Source organism: Homo sapiens, chromosome 2 (assembly GCF_000001405.40).
Source record: "Homo sapiens chromosome 2, GRCh38.p14 Primary Assembly".
Classification (NCBI taxonomy): domain Eukaryota; kingdom Metazoa; phylum Chordata; class Mammalia; order Primates; family Hominidae; genus Homo; species Homo sapiens.
Genome location: NC_000002.12, coordinates 137,585,928 through 137,605,772, shown reverse-complemented (window position 1 = coordinate 137,605,772; position 19,845 = coordinate 137,585,928). Strand labels below are relative to the sequence as shown.

General features: G+C 35.5%; 1 protein-coding gene across 2 annotated transcripts in view; it reads right to left on the bottom strand.

Annotated features, from left to right (window-relative positions):
• THSD7B (thrombospondin type 1 domain containing 7B) overlaps positions 1 to 19,845 on the bottom strand; it is a 912,174-nt gene that overhangs the window by 71,946 nt on the left and 820,383 nt on the right. The gene's annotated exons all lie outside the window — the stretch shown is intronic.

Here is a 19,845-nt window from a genome sequence, read left to right as displayed (position 1 = left end):
CGCTTGAACCAGGGATGCGGAAGTTGCAGTGAGCTGAGATCGCACCACTGCACTCCAGCCTGGCGACGGAGCAGGACTCCGTCTCAAAAAAAAAAAAAAAAAAAAAAAAAAAAAAAAAAAAAAAGTGCGAAGTGCCAATATATGCTTTTTTAATACCCTTGGCTTTTTTACTTTTAACACTATGGCTCTGCTGAGATTGATCTGGAATTTCCTGTATATCTCAGTAGACTGTATGTTCCTTGGGGCCAAGGTCTCTTCATCATACCACTGATGTCTACCATAATACCTGTTACATAGCAGGTAGTTAATATTAGTCAAACACACAATATTTAAACTGATTTTTGTACTTATGTGCCTGACACTGTTAAGTGATTTACATGTATTAATCCTCACACTGGCCTCTGAGTTGTGCACTATTACTCCAATTTTCCAGACATATTGAGGTTAAATTACTTGCCCAAAGTGCCAGTGTGAAGGAGTATACAGACATGAAAGGACATAGGGTAAAAAGGAGAATGTGATGAGTTTGGGCTGTTTCTAAATCTTAAACTTATTTTCCACAATTGTTTACTCAGCATCACTATGTACTTGCCTCTCAAAATAGAAATTAGCATCTGGAAAACAAGACATGCAGCCAAATTGAGAAGGTCCATTTTGTCCACAGGCCTTATTGAAATGTGAACAGAATCTGGGAGGTGAGAAGATGCTCTCTATAGAATTTATGCTTATTAGCTAATTTGAAGGTCAAAATACCCAAAGGACTTATATGTGCAATTTCAGAATTATTATTATTATATTCTATTATTTTTCTACTAGTACAACCATACCAAAAAAGTAATGATTTAGAAATCCTACAAATAAATATTAAGAACTAAGAAATACTACTGGGATATAATAAATCTAATATAGCCAAATATACCACATACTTCTTTAAGAAATCACAGTTTGCATAATATTATTCATAGATACTTTTTAAGGTAATAGTTATATTGTACCCAAAATGGAAAAGATATTAGAAAAGACTTGGAAAGAAACATCTAAATTTTTAAAAAGCTGAAGTGTGTGCAAAACTCAACAAGAGATCACTATGCCCAGTATGACTCATCAGTAGTGATATTTTATGGAGAGGGTCCCTGGCAACTGACACTGTGAGTTTCCATGGGAATAAGTGATTTTTTACATTCTTTTTCCAGATAAGCAATTTTTGGGATTAAAATGATGCAAAAGAGGACTTCTAGGATAACCTAGATGATAGATACATGTTAAAATTCAAAGCAAAAATCTGGCCTTTTCTTCTTAGACATGAAACACACATATTAGATGAAATAAAAATCACAGGTAAAGTGGAATATAGATCACACATCTGAGCTCAAAACTGCTGCTATAGAGTAGTTTAATACTAAAAGTTTTAATAATAGCCATCATAATAACGAAATATTATTGACAGTAAAGACATATATCACATAGCTCAAAGAGAGGAATTGAGTCATTTTAAAAAATTAAATGTTATATTTTCACTATTTAAAAAGTTGAAATAGTCACTTCTTTTTATACTTCTTGAAGAAAACTCTTTCCTTACTTTCAGGAAGCTATGAGCAATTAGAAATATTTATTATAAGTGAATTAGGAATCTGATTGAGTTGTTTTTTTATTTTATTATTATTATTTTTTTTCGAGATAGAGTCTCACTCTGTCACCCAGGCAGGCTGGAATACAGTGGCGCAATCTCCACCTCCCAGGTTCAAGCAATTCTCCTGCCCCAGCCTCCCAAGTAGCTGGGATTACAGGTGCACACCACCAAGCCGGGATAATTTTTGTATTTTTAGTAGAGACGGGGTTTCACCATGTTGGCCAGGCTACTCTTGAACTCCTGACCTCAGGTGATCCATCCACCTTGGCCTCCCAAAGTGTTGGGATTACAGGCATGAGCCACCGTGCCTGGCCATGTTTTAAAGTTTTTAATATTACTAATTTGTATGCATTTGTGATGCCAAGCCAAATTATATTTGATATTCTAAAAAGTAATTACACTAAGTTTTATAGATCAGTAAACTGAGCTTGAAAGAATATCAGCAACATGCCAAAGTCACATAGCGTAATAAGCAAAACAGAGATCAAAATCCAGATATCTCCTTCTTGCTGTCTTCTTGGATGTCAAGTACTTCAAGTGCTATCTTTTTATACTTGCTATATAAATATTAATTCAATAGCAAGAAGAACCATTTTATTATTACTCCAGTGGCTAATGAGTCTCAGCCTTCATTCTAAATTATATGGGTGACTAAGACCTTCCAAGTACACTGTTCAATGATCTGGGTGTTCCAATGTCAAAACCATCCTACAAAGAAAGTTAAAGATTTAGAGAACCCATTTTAGCACATTTTAATTACACAGGACTCATTGGAAGAAGTGTACTTAAAAGAAAAAAAGAAACTAAAGTCGCTGTCTGCAGAAATAAAATTCATTTCTCCATGTCTCAGTCTCTTCACTCAGATTTACCCCATGTAATTCACAATGATGTGAAGGCAATGAAGTGAGATAAGCTTGAAAGCACTCTGAAGAAACAAAAGGCATTCTACAAATACAAAGTGGTGGTGTCCATATTGCAATGGTGGGATACTCAGGCGAGGGGAGGCGTTCATGCTGGACTGTGCTATGAGACAGCAGTTCAGCAAAGCATCATCTAATGAAAACCAAAGACTATCAAGCTCCAACTCACCACCAATTACACTAAGCCTGGAGCAACTCAATCAAGCACCACCAAAAACAAAATAAAAATTGGTCAGGCACAGACAGTCAGACTCTGGGATGTGATGAGTGGGCATGGGAAGCATTGGTAACTCCTAAGGCAGGGTCATTGTGGATGGTAGATACAGACATGTGGCACAGAGAGAAACTCCCCACTGAAAGGTGCTATGGTTTTAATGTGTCCCCCAAAGTTCATGGGTTTGAAACAATCCCAAATGCAACTGTGTTGAGAGGTGGGACTTTTAAGAGGTAATTAGGCCATGGGGACTCCACTCTCATGAGTAGATTAATTCTGTTATCCCAAGAGTGGGTTCCTTAATAAAAAACAAAGAAACTTGTCCCCCACCACTGATGCTTTTTTTGCCCTTCCACCTTGGGATGATGCACGTAGAAGACCCTTGCCAGATGCTGGCATCTTGATATTGAAGTTCCCAGACTGTAAGAAATGTCTTTCTTTGGCAGGGCGCGGTGGCTCACGCCTGTAATCCCAGCACTTTGGGAGGCGAAGGTGGGTGGATCACGAGGTCAGGAGATTGAGACCATCCTGGCCAGCATGGTGAAACCCCGTCTCTACTAAAATACAAAAAATTAGCTGGGCGTGGTGATGCGTGCCTATAGTCCCACCTACTTAGGAGGCTGAGGCAGGGGAATCGCTTGAATCTGGGAGGCGGAGGTTTCAGTGAGCCAAGATTGCGCCACTGCACTCCAGCCTGGCGAAGGAGCAAGACTCCATCTTAAAAAATAATACAAAAACAAAAACAAAAACAAAAAAACGAGAAAGAAAATAAATGTCTTTCCTTTATAAATTATGCAGTCTGGGGTATTCTGCTATAACACCACAAAACAGAACAACACATAATGATTCTCCACTCTCAATTAATATAGCCTCAGAAATAAACAATACATTTGAAGGATAATTTGGATTGTATTCCCTCAAGAAGCCCAAGGGATGACCAGAAAGGGGTGAATGAAAGCAACACAGGTAAATGTGAGAGGGAGCAGGCCACTGCAGTTTTGGGAACTCAGACACAGTGAACAGAGATAAAATTTCAGAGCACTCTATTGAATAGGCATGACAGATTTTCATCAGATTGAAATAGTTTGCTACAGTTATGACCAATTAGGTGGAGCTGAAAGGATACAGATGTTGGCTCCTGAATGAGGCTCAGTTTCAAATTCTGATCCTGCAACCTCAAGTATTATGAGTTTGATTAGTTATTTCATTGCTGTATCTTTCACTTTCTTCACTAATAAAGAGGGACGAAGAATGCTACACTGTGAGTTAATACTCTTTTAATAATGAGATAATGTATGCAAAATGCCCAGAACAAAGAAACACCATTTTTAAAAATTCCTTTTACTTAGAAGAATGGTTTCAAAGACATACAGTCATATGTTACTTAATGACGGGGATATGTTCTGAGAAATCCATCATTAGGCAATTTCATCATTGTATGAATATCATAAAATGTACTTACACAAACCTGGATGGGATAGCCTGGTACACACCTAGGCTATATGGGATAGTGTATTACTCCTAGGCTACAAACCTGTACAGAATACTGTATACTAAATACTATAGATAATTACAACACAATGGTATTTCTGTATCTAAATACACCTAAAAATAAAAAAGGTAGAGTAACATATGGTATAAAAGATTTAAAAAATGGTACACCTCTATAGGTCACTTAGCACAGATGGAGCCTGCAGGACTGGAAGTTGTGCCAGGTGAGCCAGTGAGTGAGCAGTGAGTGAATATGGAGGCCTAAGGCACTACTGTACACTATGGTAGACTTTATAAACATTGTACACTTAGGTTACACTCCATTTATTTTAAAATGTTTTCCATTCTTCAATAATAAATTTACCTCAGCTTACTGTAACTTTTTTATTTTATAAACTTTTAATTTTTTTAACTTTTTGACTCTTTTACAATAACACTAAGCATAAAACACAAACACGTTGTATAGCCTAACAAAAATATTTTCTTTCTTTATATCCTTATCCTATATTTTCTATTTTTAATTTTTTTCCTATTTAAACTTTTTTTGTTGCTGAAAACTAAGATATAAATACACGTTTTAGCTTAGGCCACACAGGGTCCGGATCATCAATTTTGCTGTCTTCCACCTCCCTGTCTTGTCCTACTAGAAGGTCTTCAGGGGCAATAACATGCATAGAGCTATCATCTCATACAATAATAATGGCATCCATTGAAATACCTCCTGAAGGAGCTGCCTGATGCTGTCTTGTAGTTAAATTTTGTTTTTTTGTTTTGTTTTGTTTTTGAAATGGTCTCTCTGTTGCCCACACTGGAGTGCAGTGGCATGATCTCAGCTCACTGCAACCTCTTCCCCACGGGTTCAAGTGATTCTCATACCTTAGCCTCTCAAGTAGCTGGGACTACAGGCGTGTGCCACTACACCCAGCTAATTTTTGTATTTTTAGCAGAGATAGGGTTTCGCCATGTTGGCCAGGCTGGTCTTGAACTCCTGGCTTCAAGTGATCTGCCTGCCTTAGCCTCTCAAAGTGCTAGGACTACAGGCCTGAGCCATAACATCCAGTCTGTAGTTAACTTTTAAAAATATATATAAGTAGAAGGAGTACACTAAAATAATGATAAAAATTATAATACAGTAAATATTAGGCAATAAGAAATTTTCAGTTCCATTGTAATCATATGGCACCACCTTCATACATGTGGTTAGTCATTATTGAAATGTTATGTGGCGCATGACTGGATACTGAAACCAATAACCTTTAGTGTTTCCAAAGCTGAATGCTCATTTTGCTTCTGATATGCCATAAGTTTTAATGAAATTCATGGTGGTAGGAACAGACAAAATATGCCTGAACTGGTTTCTACAATAAATGTTTTTATCTCTCTCTCTCTCCCTCTCTGTGTGCGTGTGTGCATGCATGTGTGCAGGTGCCCCTGGGGAGGGGAAGCAGAAAAGGGAGAGATGATGAAGAAGAAGAGGAGGCAGAGAAGGAGGTGGAGGAAAGAAGAGGGAAGACAAAGGAAACTGGAAGCTGAGGGGCATTGGAAAATTGTCACGCCTTGCATGGCCATAGAGGATTTCTGAATCTTACAAGGAGGAGGCCTTGGTAGAGCAAAGGGGAAAGGATACATGAATGATGACCCAACCGTGTGCAGTGGAAAGTCACTCCATATGCTTTTTGTTGATTCCCTCTCGTTTAGTTATACACTAAATCCTCCAGCTTCTATTGAAAAGTAAAGCTTTATAAAGGCATTCAAAATGAATTTCTTCGAGCTAGATGTTTGTCGATATCATACAAGAAGGGAGGAAAGAATAATGCTGCAATAAACATACGTGTGCATGTGTCTTTATAGCAGCATGATTTATAGTCCTTTGGGTATATACCCAGTAATGGGATGGCTGGGTCAAATGGTATTTCTAGTTCTAGATCCCTGAGGAATCGCCACACTGACTTCCACAATGGTTGAACTAGTTTACAGTCCCACCAACAGTGTAAAAGTGTTCCTATTTCTCCACATCCTCTCCAGCACCTGTTGTTTCCTGACTTTTTAATGATTGCCATTCTAACTGGTGTGAGATGATATCTCATAGTGGTTTTGATTTGCATTTCTCTGATGGCCAGTGATGATGAGCATTTTTTCATGTGATTTTTGGCTGCATAAATGTCTTCTTTTGAGAAGTGTCTGTGGCATTATTCACAATAGCAAAGACTTGGAACCAACCCAAATGTCCAACAATGATAGACTGGATTAAGAAAATGTGGCACATATACACCATGGAATACTATGCAGCCATAAAAAATGATGAGTTCATATCCTTTGTAGGGACATGGATGAAATTGGAAATCATCATTCTCAGTAAACTATCGCAAGAAAAAAAAACCAAACACCGTATATTCTCACTCATAGGTGGGAATTGAACAATGAGATCACATGGACACATGAAGGGGAATACCACACTCTGGGGACTGTGGTGGGGTGGGGGGAGGGGGGAGGGATAGCATTGGGAGATATACCTAAGGCTAGATGACGAGTTAGTGGGTGCAGTGCACCAGCGTGGCACATGTATACATATGTAACTAACCTGCACAATGTGCACATGTACCCTAAAACTTAAAGTATAATAATAATAAAAAAAAAAAAGAACCAAAATGAAACATAAAAGAAAAAAAAGAAGGGAGGAAAGAAAACAAGAGAAAAATCTCTAAGGTTTTCTTTCAAGGGTTGCAAATCATTGAATTATGAGTTACACAGACATTTACAAGCTTGGCCTAGATAGAGTATAGTAATCTATAAATGCTATTCAAGTGATTTATGGTACAACTGTTCTAACACATTAACAATATCAGGAAATGTATTTAATTTATTCTCAGGGATGCACATTTACATTATTCACAACAAGCCATTTATAGGGAAACGTGTAACCCTTAAACTAAAGTGAATGCATCTCTAGTGAGTTTTGAGCAGTTATAACTGTCTAATAAATGCTTGTTTGCTAACTTACTGTACAAGCCAGTGTAAATGTTTTCCAGTTCTTCTGTAAGCACTTTATTCTATGAATTAGTGAACAGTTTGGAACACATGGCAGAATCTGTACACTGGGTCCTAAATGCTGAAGAATCTGAATGATAAAGAACCTACTTTCCTTGCTAAAATTTTGCTAGCTCATGAAAAAGAAAATCATCTTTTACTCCTGATTCTATATTCTAGATTTATCAGATGTAGCAGTGACATATATTTCAAGGATCTGAGGATTTCTTAGCATATTGGCAACTTCTGGAAAATGTACCATCTAGCAGACTGTTGTGTCACTGGTCTAGTTCCCCCTCTACCTTCATCAGGACAAAAATAATGTCTTGGAATTTGTTAGATCTTTATTAAAAATATGCATATGTGCATAGCATGGAGAGTGGGGTGAAGAGGAAAGACAGAAAAAAAGAAAGATGGGGAAATGGGGAGACAGGAACAGGAATGAGATAGAGTGAGGGAGCAAGAGAAGTAGGAGATAGGAAGAGAGACTCAAGCTCAATTGTTGGGGGCTTTTATGTCTTCTACCATTTATTTATCTTAGGAACTCTTTGAGAAATATTTACTAACTAACCATATTATAGATATGAAAACTGAGGGCTATATCTCTAGATATAGAGAATGTAATTACAATTTTAATAATCTTTTATCAATAAACAGTGACAACCCAATTCAAAGTAATTAAATGGTAACCACTAAAATTGTGTATCTTTTGCAAGTGTTCCCTCAGAAAACTACAGTGCACAGGGCATTGCCCTTTTACAGATTTGGACAGCTGAGTTTTACAAAATGGAATTATAATATGTGTCTGAAACATAATATACTTCATTGATTTTGTGTCTTTTGTTCTTGGAGATGCCTCCAGTTGTCCTGACTATATGTTCTCCGTAGTTTGACCATTGGCAAGGACACTTCTTGTCACCATGCAAGCACTTTGTTGCACTAGAGGACCATTCTTCCCACGATTCCAGGTAAATTTTATTGTAGTGATATTTGCAAACAAAAGCATCTTAAAAAAAAAAAAACAGGTTTTTTTTTGGTTTTGTTTTTCTTTTGCCCATTGGACCGTCTTGGATTAGGAAATGACCTTTACAGCTGGCTCATACAGCCAATGCATTTAAACACAAAGAATCCTATTTCCAAGCACTAGAAGATCAGGACATCTGGCCTGAGAGACAATGGAGAATTTCATGGTCTAATATTGTTTGAGAGTCAGAGAATCATAAGCTAACTATACAGGTGTTGATAACAAAGGCAGAATCCCATTATTCTAAATGTCATTACAACAAAGATTGTATCCAGCAAGGCACTTCCATGTCCCATTTGATCGTCCATGGCAACAGTAATTTTTATTAGTTAGTATACTCCAGTATACTAACCTCCATTCTGACAAAATTTCAAAATTTATCTCATATCCATGATTTTGGAGCCTAGGCTACTAATAATGCTAGTTTCAAAATGTTCTTTCTGGTGAAAAACCACACAATGGTTTCTTAAATATTTACGAAACTAATCACCACATGTGGTTGTATCCTTACATTCTATTGTTTTTATGGCAATACACATTCTCTAGCATCCCTTACAGTTATACATAATAATCTTGTCTCATTATGTCATTTCAAACTTCTAAAAATAATTTAGAATATATAGTAACAAAGGAGAAAATGTGCTGATCAAACTATATTCTGTTACTGGACCACAGAACATAGCCACATGGTATTAACAATCTTGAAGAAGAAAGGAGGAGGTGCAAGAGAAAGAAGAGGAAGAGGAGGGGGGAGGAGGAAGAGGAGAAAAAAAGAGGGTGAAAGAGAGGGAGAGAAGAAAGAAAACAAAAAAAGAATAAAAGAAGCCATTTATATTAGGCACTCACAGCACAACTCTCACATTAACTCAATTTGCATGTGCTTTGATTAATTTGATTGAAGTCAATTCATTTTATCTCAATGGAGATAAATATGGGTTGAGACACAGCTATAATTGTTTGATATTTGATCAGAGTATGCTTAACCATGATGATAAGATTTTGGTTTCAGGAGTTTTGGGCAATTAGAAGATGATGTTTGAACACAGCCAAATAAAGAATAATTAAACATTTTTAATGTTTCTAGAAAGTGTGCAGATTTCAAAACATATACTAATTCCATATACTGGCAACACAAAAATAATTCCTTAATCTGACATTCAAGTCCTGTGTTATCTGCCTCCATTTAACTGAATTCTTACAGTTAGTTAATAGCTACATTATCTTCCAGGTAAGGCAGTCTGGGCTCTGTCCCTGGAAGATGTTGTATTATCCAGCATGTGTTCATGCTTTTTACCTGTTTAGTGAGTTTCCATGTTGCCTTCTGTGCTTGCAAGATGTATGACTTTTACCAGCTGTCCTTCTTAACCTTTCTGGCTTACAATAATCTCATTTTTTTGACCCTACAATAAGATATAAAGGCTGAAATATATTTGACTATTTTGTATAGCTCTCTGTTTTTGCTACTTGTATTTTGGGGTTTTTTCTTCACTAAGATTCTGAGTCTTTTAAAGATTAGAACTATGTAATATATATCTTCAAAAGTATTGAGCAATTTATGAGCTCCCAAAAATATACTATTTAATGATTTGAATTACAATATTAAATAGGTATATAGTTATAACCTTCACTTGAAGTTTGTAATAATATTATTTTTTAAAGTTTTGTGTGATTAATAAATCATTCATGATTGATATAAACATATATGTGTATATACATTTATTGATTCATGTGGAATGTGTACATATATCTATACAAGTATATTTTTAAAATGAAATTTCTCCCAATGTACATCCAACAAAAAGGGATTAAGTCTATAAAAGATAGTCCATTTTCTGTTTAAAACTGAAATTTTAGTATTTCCAATACCAAGCCAACATAGTAAATCTCAAATTAAACTTTCTTGGATTCATATTTGAATTCAAGAATTGTGCACAAAAGACAAATAAAGTGTTAGAAACCAGAAAGCATTTTATGTGTTACCTCACCCCTTTGAAAGTATTTATCCCTGGGTTGTTTGAACATGTCTGGCTTTAGGGCTGCCTAATTAGCCACGTGCTATAAATATGATAGAAAGCATGTCAAGGCTTATGAAACCCACCACAACAAGTTACCCATATTACTGCCAATGAGAAGATGTGGTATATAAAGAAGAAACTTTGACAGACTGAAAAATAAAAGGAGCAGGTATAGCATTTTCATATCTTCTTGTAATTAAATACTGTCACTTTGGAATAGATAGAGGAATACAACAAATGCAACAAAGGGGAGAATTGGAAATTTTGAGGCCATAACATATGCTAGAGTGATAAAATATCATACGGAAAGGTGTCCATTGCATAAAAACTGGAAAGTTGTGTTTGCCACAGAAAAAGAGTACTTTTAGTAGCAGTGAATTTAGCATAGTAGTGCCATATAAGGTTAATATTTAATAATTAATTGCATATCTGTACAGTTGCAACCAAAAATGGGAAAGTAAAGATAGCAAAACAATTTCATTTATGGTAACATTAAAAACATAAAATTATAGTAATAAACTAAGATATGCAGAACATCTACACTGAACACTATCAAACATTGTTGAAATAAATTAAGAAAGATCTTAACAATGGAGAGATATGCCATATTCATGAATTGGGAGACTATTTTTATGATATCAGGCTTCTTTTCCAAACTGATCTATAAATTCCATTTATTATCAAGTAAAAACACAGCAGGATTATTGTAAGAAATCGACAATGCAATCCTAAAATTTACATGGAAATGCTAAGACATAGAATAGCTATGAAAATTTTGAAGAATTAAGAATAATGAAAAAATACATTATCAAATTTTTAGACTCAGTCTAAGTCAACACTAATTAAGACAATACAATACTGCTGCATGGATAGACAAACCAATCAATGGAATAAAACTGACAGTCTAGAAAGAGACAAACACATAGCTGTTTACTTGATGTTCTACAAAGGCAACAATGCAATTTGAAACTGTATAGAAGTGGGGGCCATTAATCTTATAGCAGATAACATTGGTGCCACATTCAGATTCCTTCAGATATTTTTACCAGTTCTGTGTACCAATTTCTCTGCTTTGCCATGACTTGCAGCTAATGACTTGCACCCGAGACTCTCAAATAATTGTCCATGGATTATCTTACCTTTCTAAAACTCTAAGGAGAATCAAAAGTGCCTGGAAGATTTAATCCCCAACCCCAAACAGACAGCCTGTAGCTGGTAAGTAACTAGTGGCAGGAGATATAAGCCTAGATCCTTTGCCTCAAAAATGGTCATCTCTGTAGTGCAATTCTACTCCAGAGAGTCTTTCAAAATCAGACTGAGTCTGGGACTTCATTTGAAATAGCACCCTTGCCTGGCTTCTTTCCCTTTTCAGTTCTGCTTCCCCTCTATACCTTATTGGTTTCTTTTTGGAACATTTAACACTTCCTTAATAAATCACTTGTACTGAAGCTCAGGATCCACCTTCGAAAGGACTCAACCTAAAATATTCCTAAACCATTCCACACATACATAATGTATTTGAGATGAACCATATATCTAAATGTGAACACTCAACTCATAGAACTTTTAGAAGAAAAGATGAAAAAAATGCTTCTGTGGCCTTGAGTAAGAAAAAGATTTCTTAGGACAAAATAGATATTAACCATAAAATAAAACGATAAATTTGGCATCAACAGAAGTAAAATCCACTTCTAAAACACAAAAAAACATTGTGATAAAAAGGTAAAACGCAATATAAAATTGTGGAAAATATTCACAATGCTTACATCTGACAGACGACTTACATCCAGAATATACAAATAACTTATTTAAATCAATAATAAAAATAGTTAAATTCATTAAAAAATAGGCATGTGACTTCAACAATCATTTTACAAATAAGATATCTAATGACCCATAAACTGATAAAAAGTTGCTCAACACTATTAGTTATTAGGGAAATACAAATTAAAATCACTAAAAGATATTACTGTATATCCAGCAGAATAGCTAAAATTAAACAAGAAAAAAACATGGAAAATATCAAATGTTGATGAGGTTGTATTAAAATTGAAAGTTTCCTACGTTGTTGTAAATAGTGTAAAATGGCACTATAACTTTGAAAACTGCTTGAAAATTTCTAATAATTAATATACACCTATTTTATAACTTAGCTATTCTACTCCTAAATATGTGCTTAAGAGAAATGGGTGCAGATATTCACAAAATACCTTTTACAGAACGGTTGCAGTAGCTTTATTCATAAAGGCTCTAAACTAGAAATGAACCAAATGTCTGCTAACAAGAGAGTACATAAATAAATGATGCTATAATCCTACAGTGAAATACTATTTAACAACAAAAAAGAACAAACTACTGATCTGCTCAACAACATGCAGACATCTCAAAGGCATTATGTTGAGCAAATGAAACTAGCTCACACAGCCCAAAAGAACTGTGTGGTTCCATTTATATGAAATTCAAGACATAATGTTGAGCTAATGAGATCATACACAAAAGTCTAGGGTATTATTTCACTACATGAAGCCCAAGGCAGGCAAAACTAATAGATGTAAAAGAAGTGCCTAAATTTGAGTAGAAAATTGTACATATACACTGAAAAGCAGCATCAAAGATCCTGTAGTGTACTAGATTTGGCTTATATTTTTGTGTTTAGTGGTTATTCAGAAATATAAGAAGTAAAAAAATTTATCAACCCATACCCTTGAGATCTATGCATTTTCACATATAAAGTATATACATCAAAAGACTATTAAAAATTTCCTAGAATTGAAACAGAAAATAAACATGTAAAACCCTAAACCATACAGAGGATAACAGAAAAATGCAGCTTGGGTGAAGATGCATCCCGTAATCACTGAAAATGAGAAGTGATTTAGGAATAAAAGTTATAGTCTCAGAATGCACTAAAGCACTTGAACTTGAAGTTTTGTCATAATGAAGTATACAGAAATTCAAGGTATCATTCCAACTTGCTTGGAGTAGTATTCCATAGCTAAAATACAGAAATTAAAGGGTACCACATTCATAAAAGCAAAAATGTTCTAATAGAAAAAGATTAGCTTTTCTATGTGGATATTTACAAATAATATATGATTATGTAAAATACAGAAACTGATGAAAATAATCATCTAGATCTATAATTTTAGGTTATATTGACAAAATACAAAAAATTTGAGGGAGAAATATAACAAGCTACATATTTTTTGATATGCAAGGTTTACTATTGAATTTTTTGTTTATACATTTGTAATGCAGAGAAATATGTATTTAAGTTTTTTAATAAAAATAAAACATAATCAGTAGTAATATTAAATTACTCAAGTGCACAGAAAAATACAAGGCATAGTCCATGAAACTACTGAAAATAAAAGAAATACCAAAGATCCTTTCTTTTTATAGCATAATACAACAGATGCCAATTATACAAAATAGATTTTAAATACTCCTATGAAAAGCCAAAAATATTAATCTATACTTCTAATGGAAGTCTTCTTTAAAAGAAAGAAGCATAGAAAAATAAAAAAAAGAGCTAATAAAGATATTTTAAAAACACAAAGAAAAAGAAAGAAAAACAGCATAACTGTTAGACAGAATAAAATCCCAGGCAAAATGTTCGTATGAAACAAAGATCAGCCGAACATTATATAAACAAACATTTGTGAACCTTATTAAGCTAAATAACGTGGCATCAAACTATAAGAATAAAACACTATAATAAAAGCAAAAAGAATTTGACAGAAATATAATTGTAATAGCATCCTCTAATAGACTGCTGTCGTTCTACAACTTTTCGATTGGTTTATGACAAATAGGACGCAAGAATATTGAAAAACATAATACATGGAACCAATTTTTTCAATATATATGTGTATTCTAAGAAAGGCAATCACTGATTTTGTTAAAATTTAAATACATTTTTGAAGCAAACAGAAATTAATAAGTAAAAAAGCTTAAATAATATGAAAAACTTTTGAAATTTAAAAACTGAAATATACTGAACTTTGTAAAATATTCAGGAAATAAGGACATTTATATCATTATGGGCTTTGTAGACATAATGAAAATGAGAATACTACATGTGAAATTTAAGGTCAGAGTCAAAACCTTACCATTCCACTCTGCCCAAATTCTACTAAAGAGAAAATAATATCTTTAAATGTTTCATTACTACAAAAGATAGTAAATATATTAATAAGCATTTTATTCTAGTTGGAAAAAATGTATACCTTAAATGCCTCCCCAAATAGATTAAATAAGTACAACAACTAAAAATGATAAATTAGAAAATAAAAAGATCAGATATGATCATCAAATAAAATTTTGAAAATAGATTACCAAAGGGGTAAACTTTTAACAAATCTAACCAAGAAAAATGAAGAGAAAAAGTAATAAACAGAGTGAAATAAAATTAGAAAGACTCTTCCACAAGGGAATTTTTAAAGTGTATCAGAAAAAATAAAAAATAAAATTTCTCACAATTAGCTCAAGAAATTACTGAAAATGTGAATAGACTAATCAGCCTGGAGGAAACTAAGGAATAGTTTGATCAAAGTTCACCAATCAAAATGTTCTGTATCCAGACAGTTCCACAGATAAACTACTTTATACCATCAGGTATTATGTACCTCCTTAGCTAAAAAAAAAAAAAAAAAAAAACTATTTCAAAGCAGAGGGAAAAATGCAAAATGTATTTTACAGCAATTAGATGCCCTAATTCCAAATTTACAAAATTAACGTATAAAAAGGAAATTATAAATCATTGTCAATTATAGAAATATGATGCAGAAGCACTAAAAAACCTGTGCTACTTTGAAAAATACTATACAGTAGGAGTGATTGAGTTGTTTTTCTTGGAAAAATAAAGATGTCTAATATAAAAGACTTTCAAAATACCATAATAATTCATCCACTTATACACAAACACACACATACACAAATACTCATTGCGACACATGCAGGGTATTCAATCAAGAAAGTCTAAAATCCAAGCCTGATACAATCTTGTACATGTTTAGAAATAAACATATTATTATTATAGTCAGCTATACTAGCCAAGTCAGCCATGATGCCTGTCCTGCACAAATTTCCATTCCAGATGATGTCACCCTGCCCATGGTTCTAGCTCATAAAATGACCATCAATCAGACCATCAGCCTTGTTCTTCATGAGGTGATCAGGCCTAAGTGTGTCCCACATTGCTGTGTCTTGTACTAAATGCTTGTATTAAAATGCTTGGACAAGTATTAGCCATGGTAAATAGTACAGCCAGTGATCTAGCTCTTCCCAGGACTTGCACAAAAGAATATTGTGAGTTCTGTTCTGGAGTAAAAGGAAGGGAGAAAGCATGGCTTACATATGAAAAGTGAAGCACAGGTACTGATAGCAAAAGAGAAAAATCAGGAGGGCCATGAAAGAAAAAAAAAATGAACTTAAAAGTCAATAATTTCACTCAAATTTTCTATGATTTTTAAACACAACTGGCAGCTTATGTGGTCTTCATCTTAGTTATGGTCTTAGTCTTAGTCTTTTGTTCCTTAAGACGAAAATCATAAATGATCTCAATCTAACAGTCATAATAATTGTGAAGCACTTGGCATTGCTGCGTGAATCAGGAATGCAAGGATGTCCAATAACCAGTATATAATTGCAATGGTGGTTGTTAGCTCTTCCCAACTAAATAAGTTCTGATAGGAAAAAGTATTCTACACGCTTGCATGTACACATTAGAAAAAAGGCTTATCTATTATTTGAGATAATACATTTATATGCCTTAAAATACTAAGAAACCAGACCCCAAATATGCAAGAGCAAATGTAAAAGTCTAGTGAAGTGAATAGAAACATGAAAAACAAAAACCAAAAAGAAAACCCAACACTATACCGCCTCTATGCTGGCAATAATATTTTAAACAGTGTAATTTAAAATAGCAATGCCTAAATATAAACAATGTAAAATATCTACTTGAAGAAAATCACAAAATTTCACAACTATATGTAAGGAAAGGGTTGAATTTTAAAAATGTAGATATAAATTGCTTAAGATTTTATAAAAATGGAGGTTGGACACTAAAGTTTTATTTATATGATTCTGGGTAGTTTCTGCATGCTTAAATGTTTCATGATTATAAAAGAGAAAATACATTACATTAATAGAATTAGGTAAAATTTTTTCTAAGTAGAATATGGATTAAATAAAAACTTAAATAAGTATTTTTTTATTTTACAAATGACAAAAATGTCAAAGTTCAATTAAGAATAATAAGAAATGTAAATAGCCAAAAAAGTGAAAAGAAAATCAAATGGCAGGAAAGTATCCGCCAAATATCAAAAGCATACACTTATGTTATTTGATTTTAAAAGGACAACATGTGGCCAGGTGCGGTGGCTCACACTTGTAATCCCAGCATTTGTGGAGGCCCAGACGGGCAGATCACCTGAGGTCAGAAGTTCAAGACCAGCCTGACCAACATGGCAAAACCCCATCTCTACTAAAAATACAAAAATTACCTGGGCATGGTGGCATGCACCTGTAATCCCACCTACTCAGGAGGCTGAGGCAGGAAAATCCACTGGGAGGTGGAGGTTGCAGTGAGCTTAGATCATGCCATTGCACTCCAGCCTGAGCAACAAGAGCAAAACTCCATCTCGAAAAATAAATAAATAAATAAATAAATAAATAAATAAATAAAGGACAACATGAGTCAACATACCAATATATGGATATTGTCAAAATGCCAGAGATACACATACACATTATTATGTGATAAAAAGTAATAAAAAGATGGTAATCACAGATACATGAGACTATATGAGCTAAAAAAATCTATGTGTGCTGGATTTCAATGGATCTTTTTAAATCTAATAAAAATATGCTATAGTTGTGTGAAATATAAATGCTAAAATGGAATCAGAAGCATTCAAAAGACTATAACCACAAGATAAAATGGAGAAATTGAAAAAAAAAAAAACACTGAAAAATATTCCAGCTCCAGAGGTATTTTAAAACATCAAATAGCCCAGCATGAGTGATGCAGAAGACAGGTGATTTCTGCATTTCCAACTGAGGTACCGGGTTCATCTCACTGGGGCTTGTTGGACAATGGGTGCAGGACGGTGGGTGCAGCCCACTGACCATGAGCCAAAGCAGGGTAAGGCATCACCTCACCTGGGAAGCATAAGGGGTCAGGGAATTCCCTTTCCTAGCCAAGGGAATCTGTGACAGACAGCACCTGGAAAATCGGGTCACTCTCACCCTAATATTGCACTTTTTCAATGGTCTTAGCAAACGGCAGACCAGGAGATTATATCCCGTGCCTGGCTCGGAGGGTCCCACGCCCTTGGAGCCTCACTCATTGCTAGCACAGCAGTCTGAGATCAAACTGCAAGGGGGCAGCCAGGCTGGGGGAGGGGCACCTGCCATTGCTGAGGCTTGAGTATGTAAACAAAGCACTGGGAAGCTCAAACTGGGTGGAGCCCACCACAGCTCAAAGAGGCCTGCTGCCTTTGTAGACTCCACCTCTGGGGGCAGGGCACAGCCCAACAAAAGGCAGCAGAAACCTCTGCAGACTTAAATGTCCCTGTCTGACAGCTCTGAAGAGAGTAGTGGTTCTCCCAGCATGGAGTTTGAGATCGGAGAATGGACAGACTGCCTCCTAAAGTGGGTCCATGATCCCTGAGTAGCCTAACTGGGAGGAACTGCCCAGTAGGGGCAGATTGACACCTCACACGGCCAGGTACCCCTCTGAGACAAAGGTTCCAGAAGAACAATCAGACAGCAACATTTGCTGTTCAGCAATATTCGCTGTTCTGCAGCCTCCGCTGCTGATACCCAGGCAAACAGGGTTTGGAGTGGACCTCCAGCAAACTCCAACAGACCTGCAGTTGAGGATCCTGAATGTTAGAAGGAAAACTAACAAACAGAAAGGACATCCACACCAAAACCCCATCTGTACGTCACTATCATCAAAGACCAAAGGTAGATAAAACCACAAAGATGGGGAAAAAACAGAGCAGAAAAGCTGAAAATTCTAAAAATCAGAGTGCCTCTCCCCCTCCAAAGGAACACAGGCCCTCGCCAGCAACGGAACAAAGCTAGATGGATAATAACTTTGACGAGTTGACAGAAGAAGGCTTCAGACAACGAAACTTCTCCGAGCTAAAGGAGGAAGTTTGAACCCATCACAAAGAAGCTAAAAACCTTGAAAAAAGATTAGACGAATGGCTAACTAGAATAACCAGTGTAGAGAAGTCCTTAAAGGACCTGATGGAGGTGAAAACCATGGCACGAGAACTACGTGACAAATGCACAAGCTTCAGTAGCCGATTCGATCAACTGGAAGAAAGGGTATCAGTGATTGAAGATCAAATGAATGAAATGAAGTGAGAAGAGAAGTTTAGAGAAAGAAGAGTAAAAAGAAATGAACAAAACCTCCAAGAAATATGGGACTATGTGAAAAGACCAAATCTATGTCTGATTGGTGTACCTGAAAGTGACAGGGAGAATGGAACCAAGTTGGAAAACACTCTGCAGGATATTTTCCAGGAGAACTTACCCAACCTAGCAAGGCAGGCCAACATTCAAATTCAGGAAATACAGAGAACGCCACAAAGATATTCCTCAAGGAGAGCAACTCCAAGACACACAATTGTCAGATTCACGAAAGTTGAAATGAAGGTAAAAATGCTAAGGGCAGCCAGAGAGAAAGGTTGGGTTACCCACAAAGGGAAGCCCATCAGACTAACAGCTGATCTCTCTGCAGAAACTCTACAAGCCAGAAGAGAGTGGGGGCCAATATTCAACATTCTTAAAGAAAAGAATTTTCAACCCAGAATTTCATATCCAGCCAAACTAAGCTTCAGAAGTGAAGGAAAAATAAAATCCTTTACAGACAAGCAAATGCTGAGAGATTATGTCACCACCAAGCCTGCCCTATAAGAGCTCCTGAAGGAAGCACTAAACATGGAAAGGAACAACCGGTACCACCCACTGCACAAACATGCCAAATTGTAAAGACCATCGATGCTAGGAAGAAATTGCATCAACTAATGGGCAAAATAACCAGCTAGCATCATAATGACAGGATCAAATTCACACATAACAATACTAACCTTAAATGTAAATGGGCTAAATACTCCAGTTAAAAGACACAGACTGGCAAATTGGATAAAGTGTCAAGACCCATCAGTGTGCTGTATTCAGGAGACCCATCTCATGTGCAGGGACACACATAGGCTCAAAAGAAAGGGATGGAGGAAGATCTACCAAGCAAATGGAAAACAAAAAAAGGCAGGGGTTGCAATCCTAGTCTCTGATAAAACAGACTTTAAACCAACAAAGATCAAAAGAGACAAAGAAGGCCATTACATAATGGTAAAGGGATCAATTCAACAAGGAGAGCTAACTATCCTAAATATAATGCACCCAATACAGGAGCACCCAGATTCATAAAGCAAGTCCTTAGAGACCTACAAAGAGACTTAGACTCCCACACAATAATAATGGGAGACTTTAACATCCCACTG